Consider the following 25262-nt stretch of genomic DNA (forward strand, 5'->3'; position numbering starts at 1 on the left):
CTTGCTTTTATAGCATTATTGTTGGGATCTCCCATTCATGTTTTGTCTCCAGGATGTTTTATTTGAGGGAAAGGCTGTGTGTTGTCCACATTTGGACCTGAGTATAAAAGAGTACACGGCACTCCCTGTGGCATGCATGGTGGAGGACAGCATGGTGGAAGCTGCACCAAGAAAGCTTCACAGGATAGTTGAATCTAAGGGCAAGAAGTTGGGCTCTGAGAGGTCTGCCACCCCGTCTGTCACAAAGCCCATGTAATCATTCTCTCCTGCCAAATACAGGTTGTTTCGGAGGAAAACTAAGTTAGCTGTGGATTTCATCACCCCCAAAATTTCAAACAGTAATCATTAGTCTTTCCTATTTTCCCTTATCATCTGTTATAATAATCAGGAGATTCTAAGAAACCGGCCAGGGTAGGGCCTGCATCCTACCCTTCGGGCTGATTCAGGGAGGATAACCACAGTCCAAGGCATAGGTTCTCCTCCCTGACTGTGCATTAGATTCACTGAGGCAGTTTTTAAAATGCCAGGTTCCCAGGCCTTACCTTGTGCCAATTAAATCAGAATTTCTCCAGGTTGGGCCCAGGCATCTGTCGTTTTTAAAACTCAACAGGTGATTCTAATTGCATCCAGTTTTGAGGGTGTGAAACAGTTTGTTACACTTCAATGTGCACACAAATCCCCTGGGGAATGTGTAAAAAGGTAGATTCTGATTCTGACTGTGTGGGCTGGTCTGACTGTGTGGGCTGGAGTCTCAGATCTTGCACATCTAATCAAGTGATGCTGATGCTGCCAGTCCACAGACCACAGTCTGAGTAGCAAGTATGAGATTAAATGCCAGCTTTGGCTCAGGTTCACAATGTTTAGATCTAACATTTGGTAATCCAGACAGCATTATTCCATTAATTCTGATAATTCCTGGGCATCTCAGACACTTGGCAGCCGTAGTTTTGTTTGCTCTTTCCTCCTACCTGACAGGCCCTGGCTGGGGAAACTGAAGCCTCACCTCTCGAACCATCCTATGATCAATGTTGTCCCCAATGTGTCTCAGCTGCATGGCCAACTTGTGAATTATTTCCTCCTGGTGATGCTTCTGAACAATGCTATGCTCCTTGGGCTGAGAAAGTAGATTATGATCTGCATTGAGAAAAAAGAGTTCAAAAGAGATAATCCCACTTAATTATCTGTAAAATCACTTACCACTAGTTACTAAAAACTGTCTTAGAAAATGAGAGGGTTGGCCAGATGCAGTGGCTCACGCCTGTAATCCCAGCACTTTAGGAGGCCGAGGTGGGTGGATCACTTGAGGTCAAGAGTTCAAAACCAGCCTGGTCAACACAGTGAAACCCTGTTTCTACTAAAAATACAAAAAATTAGCTGGATGTGGTGACGGGTGCCTGTAATCCCTGCTACTCAGGAGGCTGAGGCAGGAGAATCACCTGAACCCAGGAGGCAGAGGTTGCAGTGAGCCAAGATTGCACCATTGCACTCCAGTCTGGGTGACAAGAGCAAAACTCCATCTCAAAAAAAAAAAGAGTTGAAATTCAGTTATTATAATAATTATCAAAAAGCAAAGCCTATCTATTGGAATAGATCAGCTCTCTCCAATAGAAATATAATTCAAGCCACATATGTAATTTTAAAGTTTCAAGTAGTAAAATCAGGTAAAATTAATTTTAGTAATTTATTTTACCTAAATCAATATATCCAAAATATTATTATAACATTAATAAATATAAAATTATTAATGATATATTTTACATTTTTAAATTATACCTAAGTCTTTGAAATTTGGTGTTTATTTTGTACTTATAGGACACCTCAATTTAGATGCTAACTTTTCACTGGAAAACCTTGATCTATACTTAGATTTCATGAAGTTGACAGTTTAAAACGTAGATTCAGGCCAGATGCAATGGCTCACATCTATAATCCCAAAACTTTGGGAGGCCAAACTGGGAGGATCACTTGAGCCAGGGCAACATAGTAAGACCTTGTCTCTACAGAAAATTTAAAAATTAGCTAAGTGTGGTGGCTCACACCTGTAGTCCCACCTACTCGACTGAAGCTGACATGGGAGAATTGCTTGAGCCCGGGAGGGGAGGCTGGAGCGAGCTATGATCACACCACTGCGCTCCAGCCTGAGCAACAGAGCAAGACCCTGTCTCAAAAAAAAAAAAAAAAAATAGATTCACATATCCAGGTCATTTCAAACATACTTAAAAGGGCTCTAACAATTAAATCAATGATCAGTTTTCAAATTTAAATTAATTAAAATTAATTAAAACTTAAAATTCAGTTCCTCAATTGCACCAGCCACATTTCAAGTGCTAATAACCAAATGTGGTTAGTAGCTATTGTATTGGACAAGCAGTAATAGATCTTTATAGTTTTTCAAAATAGATTTTTCCACTATATATATAACATATATATTATATATGTGTGTGTATATATATATAATGGAAAATCTATTTTGAATAACTATATATAAAAAATGTGTGTATACATGCATATATATATATATATGTATATATATATTTTTTAATAGACACAGGGTCTTTGTTTGTTTCCCAAGCTGGTCTTGGTTTTAAACTCCTGGGCTCAAGTGATTTTCACACCTTGATATTCCAAAGTACTGGGATTATAGGAATGAGCCACTATGCCCAGCCCCATTTAATATTTTTACCCACTCTCCTTGATGAGCTCTCCAAACTTTATTTGCTTCCAGCAACCAATGAGCGTTTTTAAGCAACACTATAAGTTAACACTTGTTAGGTGCTTTGGGGAAGGTCTAAAGAATACAGACAAGGTTTCTGTCCTTCAGTCACTTAGAAACCATGGGTTAGAGATGATATATTCCCAAGTGCTTTAGGACTACAGAAGAGAAGGAAATGAATTTGGGCTAACATAGACATAAGTATGGCTTCATAGAGAAAGCAAGAGTTGTGTTGAACCTATTTCATTTCAATAAAATTGGAGGACCTTTGATTTTCAGCCTTGAACTCAAAGAGTCCAGTGGGAGAGAGACATAAACTACAATTCAACATGTTAGAGTAAGAACGAGGTTTGCACAGATGGGTCAGGAAGACATCTGAAACGAAGTAGGTGATATCTGAGTTAAGTCTTGAAGGATAAAGGATGACTAAGAATTAGCCTGGAGAAGACACAGACTGGGGAAGAGCCAGCTGAGAGAGTGCAAACAGGACATTCCAGGCAGAAGGATCAAGTGAGCAAAAGCTTGGGGGTGACAGACAGGGAGGTTTTATGCATAAACTCTAAGCAGTGCTGTTGTTGAAAGGGAGGGACATAGGAGACAAAGCTAATAGAGAAGACACAAGAAGAGGCTTGAACTTTATCCAGTAGAGATAAAGGAGAGCTCCCGGAGGGGAGGTTTTTTAAACTCCCAATGCTCAGGCCTCTCTCCACTCCAGTGAAATCAGGAGCCTTGCAGTTGGACCAAGCATCAGTATTTTTCTTTTTATTTTTCTTTTCTTTCTTTCTTTCTTTTTTTTTTTTTTGACACAGTTTCACTCTGTCACCCAGCAATGGTGCTATCTCAGCACCACCACGCCCAGCTGATTTTTGTATTATTAGTAAAGATGGGGTTTCACCATGTTGGCCGGAGTGGTCTCAAACTCGTGACCTCAAGTGATCTGCCCACTTCGGCCTCCCAAATGGTGGGATTACAGGCATGAGCCACTGCACCTGGCCAGTATTTTCTTTAAGCTCCACGGGTGGTTCCCATGTGCAGGCAAGTTTGAGGATTGATGGTTTAGAGCAGTTGAGTAACTTGCCTAGGGTTTGAAAGCCAGTGAATGTGAGTCAGGATTTAAACTCAAGTATGTCTGGCTGCAAAGCCCATGCAATTAACCTTAGCACGGACCCTGAACTAAAGCAGTACTAATAGGGATGTAATAGTGGAAACAGATTATATATTTAAGAAACAGAATAGGCTGGGATTTAGTATTAGATAGAGACAGGGAGGAAAAAAACTCCCACTTTTCAGGCTTGGGGGATTGAAATGGCAAAGGCAGCATCAGCCTGTACAGAGAACGTGATGGAGAGAGGGCAGGTGTGGAAGGCAGAGGAGGCCAGTAGAAAAGGAAAGAAGAAAACTTGAGTTCATTTATAAATTTTAGGTACTGACTAGGCATGATGGCTCACACCTGTAATCCCAGCACTTCGGGAGGCCAAGGCAGGCAGATTGCCTGAGCTCAGGAGACCACTCTGGGCAACATGGCAGAACCCCATCTCTACCAAAAATACAAAAAATTAGCTGGGCATGGTGGTACATGCCTGTGGTCCCAGCTACTTGGGAAGCTGAGGTGGGAGGATCACTGAGCCCAGGAGGTCAAGGCTACAGTGAGCTGAGATTGTGCCACTGCACTCCAGCCTGGGTGACAGAGAGAGAACCTGTCTCAAAATAAATAAATAAATTGTAGGTACCTTTATGATGTTTTAGCCAGCATTTGGATAACATTTGAAGCACAGGGGATGTAGAACTTAAGATAAAGATTTAAGAGTCATTATTCCTTCATTTATTCAATAACAATGTAGGCGAGAGGTTGTGATTGAAGGAGAGTTTATAAGGGTGATGACAGGACCTCTGGATAAGACAGATGGTTAACAAGATAGGCAAAGGAACAAAAGTCCACAGAAATGACTGAGAAGAAATCAAAGAGGTAAAAAGGGAACCAGGAAAATGATGTCAGGAAAGGCATATTTCAAGTCTTGTTGAAAATTTACTTTTAAAATGTATTAATGGGCACTGTTACTTGGTTAACTACAGTATAAGAACACAGCCATGGGTCGCATAACTGTGTTTCAGTCAACCACGGATCACGTATACAATGGTGGTCTCATAAGATTACAATAAAGCTGAAAAATTCCTATCACCTAGTGACATCATCAACACATTACTTAGGTGTTTGATGATGTTGATGTAAACAAACCTACTGTGCCGCCAATCACTCAAGTGATCCTCCCACCTTAGCCTCTTGAGTAGCTGGGACCACAGGTGCATGCCACCATGCCCAGCTAAATTTTGTGTTTTTTGTAGAGATGGACTCTTGCCATGTTGCCCACACTGGTCTCAAACTCCTGAGCTCAAACAATTCACCTGCCTTGGCCTTCCTAAGTGCTGAGATTACAGGTGTGCACCACCGTGCCCGGACTGTTATTTTAGAGTATACTCCTTCTACTTACTAAAAAAAAAAAAAGATGGGGGGAGCTGGGCGCAGTGGCTCACGCCTGTAATCCCAGCACTTTGGGAGGCCAAGGTGGGTGGATCACCTGAGGTCAGGAGTTTGAGACCAGCCTTACCAACATGGTGAAACCCTGTCTCTATTAAAAATACAAAAATTAGCCGGGCGTGGTGGCATGCACTTGTAATCCCAGCTACTAAGGAGGCCGAGGCAGAGAACTGCTTGAAACTGGGAGGGAGAGGTTGCAGTGAGCCACGATTGCGCCACTGGACTCTAGCCTGGGCAACAGAGTGAGACTCTGGCTCCAAAAAAAAGAAAAAAGTTAACTGAAAACAGCCTCAGGCAGGTCCTTCAGGAGGTATTCCAGAAGAAGGCATTGTTATTATAGGAGATGACAGCTCCATGCATATATTGCCCCCAAAGACCTTCCCATGGGACAAGATATGGAGGTGGAAAAGAGTGATATTGATGATCCTGACCCTGTGTAGGCCTAGGCTAATATATGTGTTTGTGTCTCCGTTTTTAACAAAAAGTTAACAAAGTAAAACATAAAAAAATTTTAATAGAAAAAATCTTATAGAATAAAGATATAAAGAAAATAATTTTGTACAGCTATAGAATGTGTTTGTGTTTAAGCCATGTTATTACAAAAGAGTTCAAAATGTAAAAGTTTCAAAATAAAAAGTTACAGTAAGCTAAGGTTAATTTATTATTGAAGAAAAACTGTTTTTTTTTTTTTATTTTGAGATGGAGTTTTGCTCTTGTTGCCCAGGCTGCAGTACAATGTCGCGATCTCAGCTCACTGCAACCTTTGCCTCCCGGGTTCAAGTGATTCTCCTGCCTCAGCCTCTCAAGTGGCTGGGACTACAGGCACGTGCCACCACGCCTGGCTTTTTGTAGTTTTTTAGTAGAGACGAGGTTTCACCATGTTAGCCAGGATGGTCTGAAGAAAAACTTTTAAAAGTAAATTTGGTGTAGCCTAAGTATAGTGTTTATAAAATCTACAGTAGTGTACAGTAACATCCTAGGCTTTCACATTCACTCACCACTCACTCAGTGACTTGCCCAGAGCAACTTTCAGTCCTGCAGGCTCAATTTATGGTATAAAAGATAACCACTTTTTACTTTTTATACCATATTTTTACTCTACCTTTTCTATGTTTAGATACACAAACACCATTGTGTTACAATTGCCTACAATATTCAGTACGGTAACATGCCGTACAGGTTTGTAGCCTAGGAGCAACAGGCTATACCGTCTAGCCTAGGTGTGTAGTAGGCTATACTATCTGGGTTTGTGTAAGTGCACTCTCTGATGTGCACACAATGATGAAATCACCTAACAATGGATTTCTCAGAACCTGTCCCCATCATTGACACATGACTAGTGTAATGATTTGAGTGTATGTGTGATAATAATGATGATCCAGATTCCTAAAACACAACTTAAGGTCCTTGTTTTAAAGATGCCAATCACTATCTGATTTGCCCACACCCCCTTCCAGGAGAATCTATCTTGTTGCCTAAGCAATCAGGTTCTTTCCTACATGTTCCCACCACAACCTCAGGCCAAAGTGGATTGGATCAGAGGTGGACACTTGACCCAAGAACAAATAATCCATTGCCTGGCCAAGTACTCAGAACCTAGTCCCAAAAGGAACAGGGTCACTCAGGTTCCTCTCTGCTCAATAGACTCAGGAGACTAAGGGCATGGGTGGCATTGGGATCACAAATGCCACAGGACTATGTTGGGGCCATGATGAGTTGAAGCCACTTGTAAGTAAAAATTATGAAGAGGAAGAAAATATTGAAAGGACAGGGGATGTTGGCTAATAAAGGAAAACTGAACAGGTAATCAGAAAGAAACCAAGACTCAAGAGGTCGGGTGTGGTGGCTCACACCTGTAATCCCAGCACTTTGGGAGGCTGAGGTGGGTGGATCACGAGGTCAGGAGTTCGAGACCAGCCTGGCCAACATGGTGAAACCCCGTCTCTACTAAAAATACAAAAATCAGCTGGGTGTGGCGGTGCATGTCTGTAATCCTAGTTACTTGGGAGGCTGAGGCAGGAGAATCGCTTGAACCCGGGAGGTAGAGGTCGCAGTGGGCCAAGATGGCACCACTGTACTCTAGCCTGGGCGACAGAGTGAGACTCCATTTCAAAAAAAAAAAAAAAAGACTCAAGAAAGACTGGGCCCCAGCGCCAGCCTGCCTCAGAGCCCAAGCCCTCCAAGTTCAGTTCCTTTTCATAAGCATCCTCACCAGAAACCACATCTTTCTGGAGGTGACTGAAGTAGATTTCTCTTCCCTGCAGCTAAACAAATAATCTTAAATATCTATATCCATTATTTCCATTGTCCAGAGCTGTCGAATGTACATAAAACTGTAGGAGTATATGTTGGCTATAAATCAGCTTCAGCACAGACTCTGGAAGTGGAATTTAAAAATTAAGTTCGTGATACTAGTAGGTTGTGTTTTTAGTTCTGGTCATTTACTACTCCTCACAAAAGTTCAATGTAAAACAGATTGAGAGCTGTGCAGTACTCAACCTATATATGACATTATTTGCTAGCTAAAGAGAGTTGGTGCACCTGCCTTACAGACATTTATACACTAAGATAGCTATACCACCATATTGTAAGAAACATTGTAACAGGGAAGAAATCATTAGATCACAGCTCTAAACTAGTTATATATTGGAGGCAAAAAAATTCCTTTAACAAGATTCAAAATGAATGAAAAAAGTAAAACTCTGTATTATTTTCCAAGTATTAAAATTTTAATATCTAGGAGAAAAAAGTTGCTCATTTTATGTAATATTTGTTACTGAAAAGTTGTGGGAATATGTATACATCCACACACAAGTCTCAAGATAAAGTCATAGTCTAAATGGCCCAGTAAGGAATTTGGAAAAACTTCATGGTTAATCTTTTTTTTTTTTTTGAGATGGAGTCTCATGTTGCCCAGGCTGGACTTGAACTTCTGGGCTCAAGCAATCCTCCTGCCTCCGCGTCCAAAGTGTGTGATAATAATGATGATTCAGAATCCTAAAACACAACTTAAGGTCCTTGTATTAAAGGTATAGCCTATTTAAAGGTATAGCCTATTGCTCCTAGATAGAGATTTTCCCTCCAGGAGAATCTATCCTGTTGCCTAAGCAATCAGTTTCCTTCCTACATTTTCCCACCACAACCCCAGGCCAAAGTGGATTGGATCAGAAGTGGACACCTGACCCAAGAACAAATAGCTGGGACTTCAACATGTGTCGCTACCAAGCCCAGCTGGTTAATCCTTTTTCTTTTTCTTTCTTTTTTTTTTTTTTTGAGATGGAGTATTGAGTATTGCTCTGTTGCCCAGGCTGGAGTGCCTTGGCGCGATCTTGGCTCACCGCAACCTCCACCTCCCGAGTTCAAGTGATTCTCCTGCCTCAGCCTCCCGAGTAGCTGGGATTACAGGAGCCTGCCACCACACCCGGCTAATTTTTGTATTTTTAGTAGAAATAGGGTTTCACTATGTTGGTCAGGCTGGTTTCAAACTCCTGACCTCAGGTGTTCCACCCGCCTCAGGCTCCCAAAGTGCTTGGATTACACATGTGAGCCACCACGCCCAGCCTTTTTTTTTTTTTTTTAATACAGGGTCTCTCTCTATTGCCTCTCTCTGCTTCTCTCTGTTGCAGTGGCACAATCACAGCTCACTGCAACCTGCTAGGCTCAAGCAATCCTCCCACCTCAGCCTCCCAAGTAGCTGGGACTACAGGCATGTACCACCATGCCCAGCTAATTTTTTATTTTTTGTAGAGACAGTCTTACCATGTTGCCCAGGCTGGTCTAGAACTCCTGGCTCAAGTGATCCTCCCTCGTTAGCCTCTCAAAGTACTGAGATTACAGGAGTGAGCCACCATGCCTGGACTTGGTTAATCTTTTCTCAAAAAAGAAAAAAAAATTTTTTGTAGGTCAGGTGCTTTGCAGCATTTTGGGAGGCTGTTGGGGGAGGATCCCTTGAGCCCAGGAGTTCAGGACCAGCCTAGGCAACACAGGGAGAGCCTGTCTCTACCAAAAAAAAAAAAAAAAAAAAAAATTGTTTTAATTAGCTGGGCATGGTAGTGCCTGTAGTCCCAGCTACTTGGGAAGCCAAGGTGAGAGGATTGCTTGAGCCTGGGAGGTTGAGGCTGCAGTGACCCATGATCATGCCACTGCACCCCAGCCTGGGTGACAAAGACCATGTTTCAAAAAAAAAAATACTTTGTAAAGGAAATAATCAGCCTCAATGTGTCGGAACTTTAAAAAATACTATTGTACTTTGAGAATCCTACGTAAGGACCTCCCATCACCTGTCCCTCGAGTTGTATTTAGGAAAGCTTTTAAGCAAACATGGTGTGAAGGTTTTATAAGTGCCTTTCCACTGCCAGGCATAATGTTAATATTTTATTTTCTCACGTAGTGGTCATCCATTTATACTCCTGATTTTGTTCACTAAAAATAGGGGTCTAGGGGCTTCTGGTTCAAGACTGAGCACAAGCATTGGCTTCTCCATCTCTCCTAATCTCCCCCAAGACCTCACCAAAATCAAAGTATGAAAAAGAACAAGGCCAGAACACTGAAGAGAATGGGAGGCAGGTCAACAACAGATGAGAGACCTATGTGTGTTTCTGGAAGGCAGAAAGCAGATGAGACAAGATGCAAATAAACAAACCAGGACAGAAAGCACAGAGAACCCACCACAGGGGCTCCTGATGCTTGGAAGCCCATCTACCCCACCAAGACGCAGAGACTGGGAGAGGGAGACGCACCCTTAACTGGAAGTCTGATGGGGATCAACTGCACCACTTGGTGCCCCCAGCTCACTGTACCTAGCACAGAGTTCAGGCAAATAAAAAGAAAGAAAAGAGAATTCAGACCAGGTAAGGTGGCTCAGGCCTGTAATCCTAGCACCTTGGGAAGCTGAGGTGGGAGGATCACTTGAGGCCAGGAGTCTGAGGCCAGCCTGGGTAACATGACGAAACCGCGTCTCTAGAAAAAATACAAAAAATTAGCCAGGTGTGGTGGTGTGTGCCTGTAGTCTCAGATCTCGGGAGGCTGAGGTGGGAGGATCACTTAAGCCTAGAAGTTTGAGGCTGCAGTGAGCCATAATTGTTCCACTGTACTCCAGCCTGGGTGACAGAGCAAGACCCTGTCTGGAAGGAAGGAAGGAAGGAAGGAAGGAAGGAAGGAAGGAGAAAGAAAAGAAAAGAAGGAAGGAAGGAAGGAAAGAAGGAAGGAAGGAAGGGAGAAAGGAAGAAAGGACGAAGGAAAGAAAGAAAGAGAAAGGAAGAAAGAGAAAAAAGAAAGAAAGAAAGAAAGAAAAAGAAAAGGAAGGAAGGAAAGAGAAAGAAAGGAAGGAAGGGAGGGTGGCTGGGGGACTCGGTGGCTCGTGCCTGTAATCCCAGCACTTTGGGGGGCCAAGGCAGGTGGCTCACCTGAGGTCGGGAGTTCGAGACCAGGAAGGAAGGAAGGAAGGAGAGAGAGAGAGAGAGAGAGAAAGGCCAGGTGCAGTGGCTCATGCCTGTAATCCCAGCACTTTGGGAGGCCGAGGCGGGTGGATCACCTGACATTGGGAGTTCGAGACCAGCCTGACCAACACGGAAAAACCCTGTCTCTACTAAAAATACAAAATTAGCCTGGCATGGTGGTGCATGCCTGTAATCTCAGCTACTTGGGAGGCTGAGGCAGGAGAATCGCTTGAATCCGGGAGGCGGAGGTTGCAGTGAGCCGAGATAGCGCCATTGCTCGCCAGCCAGGGCAACAAGAGTGAAAAAAAAAAAGAAATGAAGGAAGGAAGGAAATGGGAGGAAGAAAGGAAGGGAGGAAGAGAGGAAGGAAGAAAGAGAGAGAAAGAGAAGGGAGAAGGGAGGGAAAGACAAACAGAAAGAAAAGGAAGAGAAGAAAGGAAGAAATAAAAAAGGAAGAAAAGAAAGCAAGAAGAAAGAAGAAAAGGAAGGAGGGAAGGAAGGAAGGAATCCAGACCACTCTTCTTTAATGGAAGAGGTCAAACCCTGTGGTGAAAGCAGAAGCTTCTTGATGGACGTTGGCACCTCAAATTAAAGGTCTCTTTGTTCTGGCATTTGCGGGACATGGAGCCAGAAACTAACTCATCTCCCTAAAGCCCAGACAGCTCAAAACCCTCCTATGCACCATCTGAGTCTCCATTTGGGAGAGTCCTGGAGAGGCACTTAGGCATAGTGGTAGAATTCTGAAGCCAGAAAGCTTGGATTCAAATATAAAATCTGCTACATATTAACTATGTAACCTGCCACAAGTTATCCATTCTCTCCATGCCTCAGCTTCTTCATTTGTAAAATGGCAATAGTAATGTATTATTTTATTCATTCTAAGATCTTGAATACCTGCATAATCAGTATGTGTCTTATAATCTCATAATGGCATGTCATATTTCAACAGCATTATTTACCTTTTTAGTAGTAAACAAAATAATGGTTCATCTTACAATTGATGGAATATTGAACTTAATGAAATACCATGGCTGGGCACAGTGGCTCAATGCCTGTAATCCCAGCATTTTGGGAGGCCAAGGTGGGTGGATCACCTGAGGTCAGGAGTTCGAGACCAGCCTGACCAACATAGTGAAACCCCCGTCTCTACTAAAAATACAAAAATTAGCTGGGCATGGTGGTGCACACCTGTAATCCCAGCTACTCGGGAGGCTGAGGCAGGAGAATCGCTTGAACCCAGGAGGTGGAGGTTGCAATGAGCTGAGATCCCGCCACTGCACTTCAGCCTGGGCAACAAGAGTGAAACTCCATCTCAAAAAAGAAAAAAGAAATACCATAGTAACTACCTCATAGAGGGGTTGTTGAGATGACTTGATGAGTTACACAGAACAGTGCCTAGAACACAGGTAAACACTATATAAATGTTAGTTATTACTACCCATCTGGGGGAACAGTTCTCACATAACAGCAGAAAAAACCCACACTAGCTATCCAGTGTATCTTTCACTAAAATAACAAAGAATTACCTACAAGGTGGCTCATGCCTGTAACCCCAGCACTGTGGGAGGCCAAGGCAGGAGGATTACTTGAGGCCAAGAGTTCAAAAGCAACCTGGGCAACATAGTGAGACCCCATCTCTACAAAATAAAAACAAACAAAAAATTAGCCAGGCGTGGTGATGTGTGTCTGTAGTCCCACCTACTCAGAGGCCGAGGTGAGAGGATCATTTGAGCCCAAGATGTTGAGGCTGCACTGAGCCAAGATCTTGCCACTGCTCTCCAGCCTGGGTAATAGAGTAAGACCTTGCCAAAAAAACAAATACCAGATAATCAAAACAGTAATCCTGAAGAAAACACATAATTCAGTGAAAGAAAATAATGTTTTGCAAATTCTAATGTATGTGTTTAGAGAGGTTTTTAAAAATAAGAATGGAGCCAGGCGCGGTGGCTCATGCCTGTAGTCCCAGCACTTTGGGAGGCCAAGGCAGGTGGATCACCTGAGGTCAGGAGTTCAAGACCAGCCTGGCCAACATGGTGAAACCCCGTCTCTACCAAAAACACAAAAATTAGCCAGGCGTGGTGGCGTGCACCTGTAATCCCAGCTACTCGGGAAGCTGAGGCAGGAGAATCGCTTGAACCTGGGAGGTCGAGGTTGCAATGAGCCGAGATTGTGCCACTGCACTCCAGCCTGGGTGACAGAGTGAGACTCTGTCTCAAAAATAAAAACAAAAATAAAAAAAATAGGCTGGCCGCAGTGGCTCATGCCTGTAATCCCAGTACTTCGGGAGGCCGAGGTGGGCGGATCACGAGGTCAAGAAATCGAGACCATCCTGGCCAACATGGTGAAACCCCGTCTCTACTAAAAATGCAAAATTTAGCTGGGTGTGGTGGTGCACACCTGTAGTCCCAGCTACTCGGGAGGCTGAGGCCAGAGAATCACTTGAACCTGGAAGGCGGAGGTTGCAGTGAGCCAAGATCATGCCACTGCACTCCAGCCTGGCAAGAGAGCAAGACTCCGTCTCAAAAAAAAAAAAATGGAGTCTTGAACTCCTGGATTCAAGCGATCCTTTCATCTTGGCCTCCCAAAGTGCTGGGATTACAGGCATGAGCCACTGCACCTGGCCTGTTCAGAGAGAGATTTAAGACAATATTACATTCATAAAACAAAAGAGAATGCTATGAAAAAAGAAAAATCCTAGAACAAAATCTTTCAGATTTAAAAAATATGATCGCCAAAATTAAAAATACAATTGATAGCCTGAAAAAAAGTTAAGTCAAAAAAAAAAAGAAAAAATGTTAAGTCAAGGAAATCTCAAAGAAAGAAAATCAGAAGTTGAAAACATGAGAGAAAAGATAGGTAATACAGAGAAACAATATGAAAGGACCAGCATCTGATTAATGGGAATTCCAGGGAGGGTGAAACAGAGGAGGAAATGATCAAAACAAAGCAAAACAGCTTCCCAGAAATAAAGGGCACAAACATTCATATTAGAAAATCCTGGCCGGACACGGTGGCTCACGCCGGTAATCCCAGCACTTTGGGAGGCCGAGGTGGGCGGATCACGAGGTCAGGAGATCAAGACCATCCTGGCTAACATGGTGAAACCCCATCTCTACTAAAGATACAAAAATTAGCTGGGTGTGGTGGTGGACGCCTGTAGTCCCAGCTACTCGGGAGGCTGAGGCAGGAGAATGGCGTGAACCCAGGAGGCGGAGCTTGCAGTGAGCAGAGATGTCTCCACTGCACTCCAGCCTAGGTGACAGAGCGAGACTCCATCTCAAAAAAAATAAGAAAGAAAGAAACTCCTACCAAGTTCTCAGGACAGCAAATGGCGAAATAAAAACTTCACCCTTTGAACATACTGAAATTTCAAAACACCAAGGATAAATAGAAGGAGACTCTTTAAAACCTTTGAGGAGACACATGAATTCATTTGGCAACTGACTTCCCATCAATAACAATGGATATTATAATATAGTGGGAGAAATTTTTTAATGCCCTCAAAGATGTTATAAACAATTATTTTCAATCTAGAATTCTATGCCCAGCTAAACTGTCAATAATATGTGAGAGGCGGGGCCAGGCACAGTGGCTCACGCCTGTAATCCCAACACTTTGGGAGGCTGATATGAGTGGACTGCTTGAGCCCAGGAGTTTGAGACCAGCCTGGGCAATATAGTGAGACTCCCATCTGTACAAAAAAATTTAAAAATTAGCCAGATGTGATGGCATGAGCCTATAGTCCTTGATACTCAAGAGGCTGAGGCAGAAGGACAGGTTGAGCCCAGGACTTCAAGGCTACAGTGAGCTAAGATTACGTCACTGCACTCAAGCCTGGGAAACAGGGTGAGATCTTGTCTCTAAAAACATAAAAATAAAAATTAAAAATATGGGAGCGTTTAATGAAGACATTTGCACACATGCAAGGACTCAGGAATTTTTCTTCCATACACCATTTGTTAGGAAGCCTCTTGAGGAAGTATTCCAGTAAAACACAATAAATAGAGTAAGACTAAATTAAGAAGAAAAAACCACAAGATTTAACAAAAGGTGGCTCCAACCCATGTGTAGGGAAGTCCCAGAATCTCAGTGATGCAGTGTGCCTAGAGAGTAACCAGATTGGAGCAAGATAACAACTCTCAAAGGGAAGTTCCCAGTGGAAAGGGAGACTTGGTGGAAGTGATTGTATGGTTTAGAACTTAGGGAAGTTTGAGGATGTAATAATTACAAATCACATGGAGGAGGGGAGGAAAGGAAATGAGAAAGTCCAGAAAACAATAAAAGATCATATAGGAAGCTTATGGTCCAAATATGAAGCAAATTAAAATGTGGTTTAAGTTTAAACTGAAGGGATTGTTTTATACTTCCTTCCAAAAAGATATTCCTCTGTGTTAAACCTGGCAGGGCTTTATCTGTATAACTAGGCATAATTTTAGGTGATTTTTCTCAAGGTAAAGTCATTCCAGGACAGAGTCTTCGTTGCTGGTAGCCACCACCCCTAAGTCCCAGACTGTTAAAGGAATTTCAAGGAAGTATTTGAACATTACCTTTGGAATGCTGACACAACATGGAAAAAAAATGAGGTTGAAAGTACTGGAAGTCTTGGCCTCTCCACATTCTGGGCCATCTGCTGCCAGATTGGAAAATACATGTCTCCCTTTCTCAGAGATAAACCACCTCACCAGAGCTCAAGGCTTCATCTCAAACTCAAAGTGACCTCTTCTTTTAGTTGGGGAAAGTGGTTTCTTTTATGAGGATTTTAGAGCATTAGCTAGTGCTTTAAATTCAATCGCTTTGAAGATGCAAATATTTCAAGTACAAAATCAATAGTTATGGCACCAACTCAAAGGGCATGCCCTTTCATAATCAAATTTATCATAGTTAAATGTTTAATTCTTAACAATCTTTGGTCTGAATAATAATTTCGAAATAATTTGCTTAAATTTAGCAGGCCTACAAATCAATCTCAGGAAGGCTCAAAGTCTCTTGCCAAGGACAAATTGATCCTTTAAAAAGAATTGCCGGCCAGGCGCGGGGGCTCATGCTTGTAATCCCAGCACTTTGGGAGGCTGAGGCAAGTGGATCATCTGAGGTCAGGAGTTCGAGACCAGCCTGGCCAACATGGTGAAACCCTGCCTCTACTAAAAATACAAAAATTAGCCAGACATGGTGGCGCGTGCCTGTAATCCCAGCTACTAGGGGGTGCTGAGGTAGAAGAATTACTTGAACCTGGGAGGCGGAGGCTGCAGTGAGCCGAGATCGCACCACTGCACTCCAGCCTAGGCGATGTAGTTAGACTCTGTCTCAAAAAATTAATTAATTAATTAATTAAATAAAACAAAAAGAATTGCTGGTATAACCCAGGTTCTAAGTATAAGAAAAGAGAACTGGTCTTGTAGTGGGGATGAATGGAAATTTTCATGACGGTGAGTATGAATTTGAGTTACCAAACTGGACTTGGCATCAATATGTGTAGACTGCTCTTCTAAGAAGTGTCCTGATGAAGGAATGAGACAATTGGCAGTAGCTGGAGGAGGTGTGTTGGAGGAACTTTCTTAGTTGAGTCTTGAGCAGGTTTGCAGATTGAGGAGAGAAATTAGATCAGGAGCAACAGAAAATGGGAGATACAGTAGGGCAAATTGTTGAGGTGAAGTCCCAGAAGTTAAGAAGGAATGTAAATACAAATATGAGGATTAGTTTTGAACAGGAGGAGGGTTCCCCCTTCCTTTGAGACAGGACAGGAGATAAGATATGATGCTCATTTAAGGAAGTCTGGAAGAAGTGAGAGGAAGATTCAGGTATTTACCCCTGAAGACATCAATTTTGTATATGAAACAGGAGACTGGTCCATCTGCTAAGAAGGAAAGAGATCCTGAAGTGTTTGAAATTAGTCACTACCAGAAATAAAAAAAAGTGGCAGGGCAGGGTGGCTCACGTCTGCAATCCCAGCACTTTGGGAGGCTGAGGCAGGAGGATCACTTGAGCCCAAGAATTTGAAACCAGCCTGGGCAATATAGACCAAGACCCTGTCTCTACCAAAAAGAAAAGAAAAGAAAAGAAAAATAGCCGGGTGTGATGGAGTGCACCTGTGGTCCTAACTACTCAGAAGGCTGAAGTGGGAGGATCGCTTGAGCCCAGGAGCTGGCGGCTGCAGTGAGCTATGATCATGCCACTGCACTCCTGCCTGGGCAACAGACAAAGACCCAGACCCTATCTCTAAAAAGAATAAACAGAAATGGAAAAAAGAAAACTGACTGGACCCAAAGACCACCCTTATTCCTCCCCAAAACAGAGAAGAGAAAAATATGTATTTGACCTTGATGTGCATTGTCTTTCCAGCTGGCAAGGGTCCTAAACTTGTACCTAAAGAAAAAAAAATTCATCCTATCCTTCTGTAGGAAATGGTTCAAGTTCTGTCTCAGTCACTTTCTGACTTCCTGTTCTTAGGTAAGCCTCAACTTCTCTGTGCCTCAGTTTCCCCATTTTTAAAAAGGGACCTTCTGATCATTATGACTATTAAACAACGATGTTCATAAAGTACCTACTATACAATAAATCCTGTATTATATAAATGTCAGCTACTATCACTAGACCTGGTGATAGACACTATATAGATACTATAATGTAAACCAAGTTTATTGGTTTGTAACTTTTAGAAACAACTTACGGATAGCATGGAAGAGCTGACTGTGGCTGGAGGCCAGAATGCAAATGGTAACAACTTCAAAAATGTAAGAATTAAAAAATATAGGGAACAAATAGAAGGCTCCAGAAGACTGGGTGAGAAGAAGACATGGAAGTTAGTATCTTCATCCTACAAAATGGGAGTTCATGTGATATTGCTGAACATGGATCAAATAAGAAATAGGAGTGCAAATTATTTAAGTTTATGAAGACAACAGAGAGAAGTATTAAAATAACTTAACGGCCGGGCACAGTGGCTCACGCCTGTAATCCCAGCACTTTGGGAGGCCGAGGCGGGCAGATCACCTGAGGTCAGGAGTTCGAGATCAGCCTGGCCAACAATGATGAAACCCCATCTCTACTAAAAATACAAAAATTAGCCAGGCGTGGTGGCGGGCACCTGTAATCCCAGCTACTCAGGAGGCTGAGGCAGGAAAATCGCTTGAACCCGGGAGGCAGAGGCTGCAGTGAGCCGAGATTGCGCCACTACAATTCAGCCTGGGCAACAAAGCAAGACTCCGTCTCAAAATAATAATAATAATTTAACATCAAATATGAGAAAAAGAGAGGGTGCAGTATGCGCTAAACCTCATCTGCCATGTCACGGAGTCAATGAATGATATGAGTTTGATTAACCAAGAGATAGCAGCAGGCCAGGCATGGTGGCCCACTCCTGCAATCCCAGCACTTCGAGAGGCAGTGGCAGGAGGATCGCTTGAGCCCAGGAGTTTCGGACTAGTCTGGGCAACATAGTGAGACTTCGTCTCTACAAAAAAAAAAAAAAAAAAATCAAAAACTTAGCCGGGCGTGGTGGTGTACGCCTGCAGTCCTAGCTACTTGGGAGGCTGAGGTGGGAGGATCGCTTGAGCCCAGGAGGTCAAGGCTGCAGTGAGCTGAGATTGCACCAATGCACTCCAGCCTCGGAGACACAGTGAGATCCTGTCTCAAAAAAAAAAAAAAAGAAAGAAAGAAAAAGAAAAGAAAAAAAGAGAGAGAGGAATAAATGTAAATGCACATTATTTAGAACACTGGTTTGGTTCTGAATTCTGGCTGCACAAGACAATCAGCTTGGAGGCTTAAAAAGTAATTTTGTGGGCAGGGCGCGGTGGTCATGCCTGTAATCCCAGCACTCTGGGAGGCTGAGGCGGGCGGATCACAAGGTCAGGAGATCGAGACCATCCTGGCTAACATGGTAAAACCCCGTCTCTACTAAAAATATAAAAAATTAGCCGGGCGTGGTGGCGGGCGCCTGTGGTCCCAGCTACTTGGGAGACTGAGGCAGGAGAATGGCGTGAACCCAGGAGGCGGAGGTTGCAGTGAGCTGAGATCGCACCTCTGCACTCCAGCCTGGGCGACAGAGCGAGACTCCGTCTCAAAAAAAAAAAAAAGTAAATTTGTTAGTCTGGGAATGAGAATACACATAGGTTTGTTGTTGTTGTTTGTTTTTTAAGCTCCCCAGATAATTCTAACATGCACCCAGGGTTAAGAATCACGGATCTAGAAAACTGGAAAACATGACCAATTAAGGAATTTCACTGCTAGTAATGGAATGGTGGGATGGGGTGGAGGTGAAAAGGACAGGCTGGACACTGACTTTGTATTCATTCATTTATTCATTCATTCAACAAATAGAGGGCTTTCTATGTGCCAGGTGCTGGTCCAAGCCCCTTTTCAACATAAGCTCTCTGTACTAGTTGATTTGTTTCCATGAACCTGAGTTGCTTTGATTTAAAAAAAATTAATGCAACAAAAATACAGCATCAGTATACAAATCCACACTTTTAAATACATTGGGCAACTAGTGAGAACCACTTCTGCTGAGTGGAAAAGGCAGCCACCTACACAGAGTGATAGAGATTGAAAAAAAATCACCTTTCACCATGGGCAGCGAGGCTGCAAGCTGACTGGGAGAAGATAAAGGGAAGAGTGCCTGAGGGCACTGGAGAGTACCGACTCACTTCCACCGTTACACTCCCACTCTCCTCCAGAGGCCACTGAGCCACAGCTGCCAGCTGGGTTCAAAGTTCTCTGACAGTAATGGTCCCCAAAACTGCAGGATCCCATGACAGAGTAAAGAGTGGCAGGGGGGAGATAGTGTGGGGCAGGGAGGGCCAGGGCATTAATTCACCACAGCCAAGGGTAAGTCCCTAAGTCGGTGGCTTACGGCCTTCTGATCAAAATTGCAACCCTATTGCCTGTAATTTCAGTTTTCTATAAAATTGTATCTTGAAACATACACATACTCCTGAGATCCTCACTTCAAACCATTTTGAAATAACACCCTAATGATTAGTTGACAATCACCTGAAAAAAAGTGAGGACATCAATGAGGGTTGAGAGCTCACCCAGGAGAGAAGGTGCCCAGACAGGAATCAAATGGGAAGACTGAACAAATTTCACCTACTTCCAAATGGGCTAGGCCTGCCTGTGCCAATCAAAAGCATATTGATTTGTAACTATTAGTTTAACAGAATAACTAATCATAACTAATTATCACTTGAGAAATACAAACCCTAATATCTGCATCAGGAAAGTGAAATACAAGTTGGGTAAGTTTCAATAATGGACACTGGGAGAAATGAAGGAGCTACAAGGAAACCAACAAGCCTTGGGCAGCTCAGTGATCAGGGCAGTTAGGTAGGCAAAGGGGCAGAGGAGGAAGGAGACAGGAAGGAAAGCAGTGAGTACGCCAAAAGCAAAAGCATGTTGAAACTTGACATAATGATTATTTATATTTTGTGCCTGTCTAAACAACTAAATGGTGAAATCCTTGAGGGCATGTATCTATTTCATAACTCTAAGACCTAGCTCAGTGCCCTATACATAGGAAGTACTCAATAGATATTTGTTGATTAGGTTAGGGTTGTATGAAAAAGGCTGGCTACTCTGTAGCTTTATCTAAAAACAGCATTACCTTTCCATTTGTCTTGAAGTCAGCTCTCCTTTCATTTAAAGTTGTAAAACAGCAACAATAATGCACATTCATGTATTTAAAGCTCCCGGTTTAGAACCAGGCGAAATATTTGGCCTTTGATCAGCAATGGTCCCCAAATCTCCAAGACCCTACAACAGAGTCAAGAGTGGGAGGGAGAAGATAGTGTGGGAAGAGAGGGCCAGGGTCTCAATGCATTGATTCACCTCAGCCAAGAGTAAGCTCCTAAGTAGGTGGGTTTAGGGCTAGGCTTTTCACTGTACATCTTTTCATTTATTTATTTTTCTAAACAAGAAAATCTATTTTTTAAGCAAACACTTATATAGCACTTACAACATGTCAGCCACTGTTGTAAAAGCCTGGAGATACTCTCACAATTGCTGGTGGGAATTTAGATTGGTACAACCTATGTAGGGAGCAATGTTATCTATCTATCTATCAATCAAATTTTACAAACAGAAATATGTTTAAGGTTATCTGTTGCAGCATTGGTTTCAATATTAAGTAATTGGAAACAGCCCAAGTGTAAGTCAGTAGGGAACAGTTTAAATAAATTATGGTATATCCACACAATGGAATACTATGCCACTGTAAAAAACAATGAGGAAGTTATTTAAGCATTAATGCAGAAGGATCTCCAAATCATATTAAGTGACAAAGCAAGTAAGAATCATGTGCTTAATATGATACTTTTCATCCAAAAATAGGAACAAAAGTCCATATTCACAATTGTCCATGCTTGTATAAAGAAATTCTGGAAAGATACCTGAGAATCTAAGAACAATAGTTGCCTAAGATAGGGAACTGGGGGAGTGAGAACTGAGCAGATGGGGGACAAGAATGAAAGAGAGAGTCTTCACTGTATGCCTTTTCATATTCTTTATTTTTCTAGCCAAGAAAATATATTTTTTAAGCAAACATATAGCACTTACAACGTGCTATAAAATTAAAATTGGTAAGTCACTTATTATTAATTCATAAATACTTATTCAAAATTTAAATTTAAAAGTATCTCAGGGCCAGGCGTGGTGACTCACACTTGTAATCCCAGCACTTTGGGAGTCCAAGGTGGGCGGATCACCTGAGGTCAGGAGTTTGAGAATAGCCTGGCCAACATGGTGAAACCCCATCCCTACTAAAAATACAAAAAAATTAGCCGGGCATGGTGGTGTGCGCCTGTAATCCCAGCTACTGGGAAGGCTGAGGCAAGAGGATCGCTTGAACCCGGGAGGCGGAGGTTGCAGCGAGCCAAGATTGTGCCACTGCACTCCAGCTTGGGCGACAGATAGAGACTCCGTCTCAAAAAAAAAAAAAAAAGTATCTCGGAAGTGTCATAATTGTATTGTGGTTATGCAGAAAAATATCCTTGTTCTTAGGATAAAGCAAATGGGGCAAAATTAAAAAACAACAACAACAACGACAAAAAAAAACCAAGGCCAGGTGTGGCTGACGCCTGTAACCCCAACACTTTGGAAGGACAAGGCAGGATCATTGAGCCCAGGAGTTAAGATGAGCCTGGGTAACAAAGTGAGATGCTGTCTCTACAAAAAACAAAAAATTAGCTGGGCCTGATGATGCATACCTATGGTCCCAGCTACTTGGGAGGCTGAGGCAGGAAGACCACTTGAGCCCAGGAGTTCGAGGCTGCCATGAGCTATGATCGCGCCACTGCACTTCAGCCTGAGCAACTGAGTAAGACCCTGTCTCAAAAAAAGCAAAGCAAAACAAAACTGATTAATCTGTGGGAAGGGTTTACGAATAACCACAGAGTTAATTTTGCCACTTTTCTGTAGATTTAAAATTTTCCAAGACAAATATTAGGGGAGAAAAAGTATCTCAGGAAAGTTTTTAAAACTTAAATAGAACTTTTTAATTTCTACAAACTTTTAAAAATATTTTAGAGAGTGTGTTTTGCTACATTGCCCAGGCTGATCTCAAACTCCTGGGCTCAAGCAATCCTCCCATCTCAGCCTCTGGAATAGCTGGGATTACAGAGGCAAGCCGCTGCACTAGCTTAGTTTCTACAAACTTTTTAGACTGGTTTTCAAAGCCCTTGGAATGTATTTCAACTGATTGGTCCAACCTCCTTACTCTTCTTTTAGAACCCTATGCTCTAACTAAATTGTATCTTTATCTGACCAAATCTTACCTCAATGATTTTTGAAAATTACTTTCTCTAAGATGCCTTTTTTGAGTCTTCCAAAATCATGTGATCTCTCACTACTTTGTCTACAGCACTTTTAGTTCTATTGAGATATATCATATCCTACGATTTGTTACAGTCATTGTATATTTTTCTTATACAAAACAACAGAGATAATGCATATTAGACTGTATATTAATATGTATTGTATATTAAATGTATATTGATATGTATATTAGATATGTATACTTACCTATTGAATAACACTGTCTTTAACAATCATTGTAGGTTACAACCAGGCACTCCCTAAGAACTTGGAATTAAGAGAACAAATGTCTCCTGAGAACTAAGGGGCAAGATTAATGTATGTATAGTGGAAATGGGTGAGATGGGCAGTAATTGGAAGGGGAGAGGCTCCCAGTTCTCCCTTGCACAAGCTGCTCCCTCTGTCTGCAACCTCCATCCCCCTTAACCCCTTCAGGTCTCATGTCAGGGGTTGCATCTTGAGGGAAGCCTTCTCTGATCTCCCTGCTAGGTCAAATCCCCCATTATGACATCTAGACCTCTCCTTAGCACTTATCACATTATATTTAACATTGATATGTGCAATTAACTACTGTCTGCTTCCTTTACCAGACCATACGCTCCATGACTGAAGGAACTGGTACTGTTTTTATTTATCACTGTCATCTCAGTACCTAGCACAGTGCCTGGAATATAGTAGGTTCTAGAATTTCTGGAATGAATGAACGAATTAAAAAAGAAAATGTATATCTAGAGGAGGAAGGGTTGGTGAGCCATCGAGGCAAAAAATTAAAAAAAGCAAAAGCAAAGCTTCCAAGCACTCTTAAAGAGAAAAATAAGCTAAACTGTACTCTCTATTGAATTCTACAATTATATTTCCCATTTATACTACTTACACACACATGCACACGCATTTATTTATTTAGCCCTTTCCCATCAGTAATTATTACACTTCTGCCCCTTGTCAAATCACTCCATTCCCGCACAGCAATGGTGGGCAGGGCCTCCTTTTGCTTTTACTCATCTTTGTTTCCCCAGGAGTTTCTAATTTCCCTTAAATGATGTGTATCAGGATGGTTGCTCTGGACTTCCCACGACCCTCAACTCTTCTAAGAAAATGTGGCTTTGAATTCCCCATACAAAAATTATGTATTTTCCCCCGAAGAGTTATGTTTGTATGTGTAGAGCGCCCCCAAAGAGATAAATCTTGGCTTCAGCGAGTCACATTCCTGCCTTGTGGTTTCCATTTTCAGTCTGTCTGTGTCACAGCCCCGGACAGAAGCCACTGAGGGGAGAGGTGGACCTCCTCAATCTCCTGCTTCCTCAGTAAGAGTTTTCCTCTGGACAGTACTTAGGCATTTTCTCAGGCTCCCCGCCAGAGAGCGCCGCCAGGTCCTCGGAACCACCTCGCGCACTTTAGCTGGGCGCGCGACCCGCGCAACCAGTGAGAACCCCGCTCCCGCCCTAGGCTTTCTGTGGTGGAAAAAGCGCGCGCGCGGACGAGCAGGTTAGGCGATAGAGGTCACGTGGGCCAGCTGTGGCCAATGGGGAGCGCACATGGCGACGCGGCCGGCGGCGGCGCGCGCGTAGCTCGCCTCGGGCTCCTGGCGGGAGCGGGAGTTAGGGAGGCCGGGTTCCCGAATTACACACACCAGCGTTATTTATTCTATCAGTCTTTGGTTACTCTATCTGGCGTTCTCGACGCCGTAATAACAAGTTCGTGCCCCCTCACACCGCCCCCTCATTCCGCACATCCCTCATTTCTTCAGTGGTATCATAAAGATGAAGGGGAGAAACGCGCTGCTGCCTGAACAGAAAGGCAACCCAGGTGTCCTGGGCCAGAAGTGGGAGGACATGGGAGACAGCACTTTATTGGAAGATCCCTGGTTTCTAATTGTTTGGCAGGCGTTGAAAGCACATTGGTGGCCCACCAGACTACCAGTCACTAATGAGATTTGACATATAACTCGCGTATGGTAAAACGGGAGTTCTAGGCATGAAAACAAGCATGTACGTTAGCTAGTGGGTTGTTAACTCTAAATCAAGGGCAGCAGCGTTAGTAACTTCACCTGCCTCTTCTTTTGAAGTGAAACTGTAATTAGGAAAGCATTTGAGGCAAAAGTAGCAACGCCCACAGAACGCCTCGGAAGACAGCGATCAGCTTCACAAGGAATCTGAGGATCAGGAGGTAGAGTGTGAAAACATACTGGAAAGAGTTTACAATAAAACATAAAATCTTAGAATAGTGGCGACGATTGCACAACGTTGTGAGTATACTAAAACCCTCTGTCCGTACACTTTAAAAGGGTGAACTTTATGTTAAGTGAATTACGTCTCTTAAAAAAAATTACAAGTTCCTAGAAGGTGTTCATAGGTGACACAATCTCAGACTTTGGGGAATAATTGTTGTTGACAACGGAATTAACAAATGAAGATTCAGGCGGAGCGCGGTGGCTCACGCCTGTAATCCCAGCACTTTGGGAGACCGAGGCGGGCAGATCACGAGGTCAGGAGATCAAGACCATCCTGGCTAACACGGTGAAACCCCGTCTCTACTAAAAATACAAAAATGAGCCGGGCGTGGTGGCGGGCGCCTGTAGTCCCAGCTACTCGGGAGGCTGAGGCAGGAGAATGGCGTGAACCTGGGAGGCGGAGCTACAGTGAGCCGAGATCGCGCCACTGCACTCCAGCCTGGGTGACAGTGCGAGACTCCGTCTCAAAAAAACAAAAACAAATACAAAAACAGATGAAGATTCAAAATTTCAGTCAATTCAGTGCTTTCTAAAAAATGG

At 42.9% G+C, this 25262-nt stretch overlaps 1 protein-coding gene across 2 annotated transcripts in view, besides 1 other annotated feature; it reads right to left on the bottom strand.

Moving 5' to 3' along the window:
- Positions 1 to 25262, bottom strand: part of PXT1 (peroxisomal testis enriched protein 1) — a 52304-nt gene that overhangs the window by 8900 nt on the left and 18142 nt on the right. For both annotated transcript variants that reach the window (XM_011514400.3, NM_152990.4), the window contains one exon: positions 1004 to 1134. In XM_011514400.3, coding sequence (XP_011512702.1) covers positions 1004 to 1134 — 131 coding nt within the window. The remainder of the gene's footprint in view (positions 1 to 1003; positions 1135 to 25262) is intronic.
- Positions 595 to 644: a silencer, noted in NCBI's record as "silent region_17114". NCBI's record gives its function as "represses an Ori minimal core promoter by ATAC-STARR-seq in GM12878 lymphoblastoid cells {active_cell/tissue: GM12878}" and the evidence as "EXISTENCE:reporter gene assay evidence [ECO:0000049][PMID:35858748]".

The sequence above is a fragment of the Homo sapiens genome, chromosome 6 (assembly GCF_000001405.40).
Source record: "Homo sapiens chromosome 6, GRCh38.p14 Primary Assembly".
NCBI lineage: Eukaryota > Metazoa > Chordata > Mammalia > Primates > Hominidae > Homo > Homo sapiens.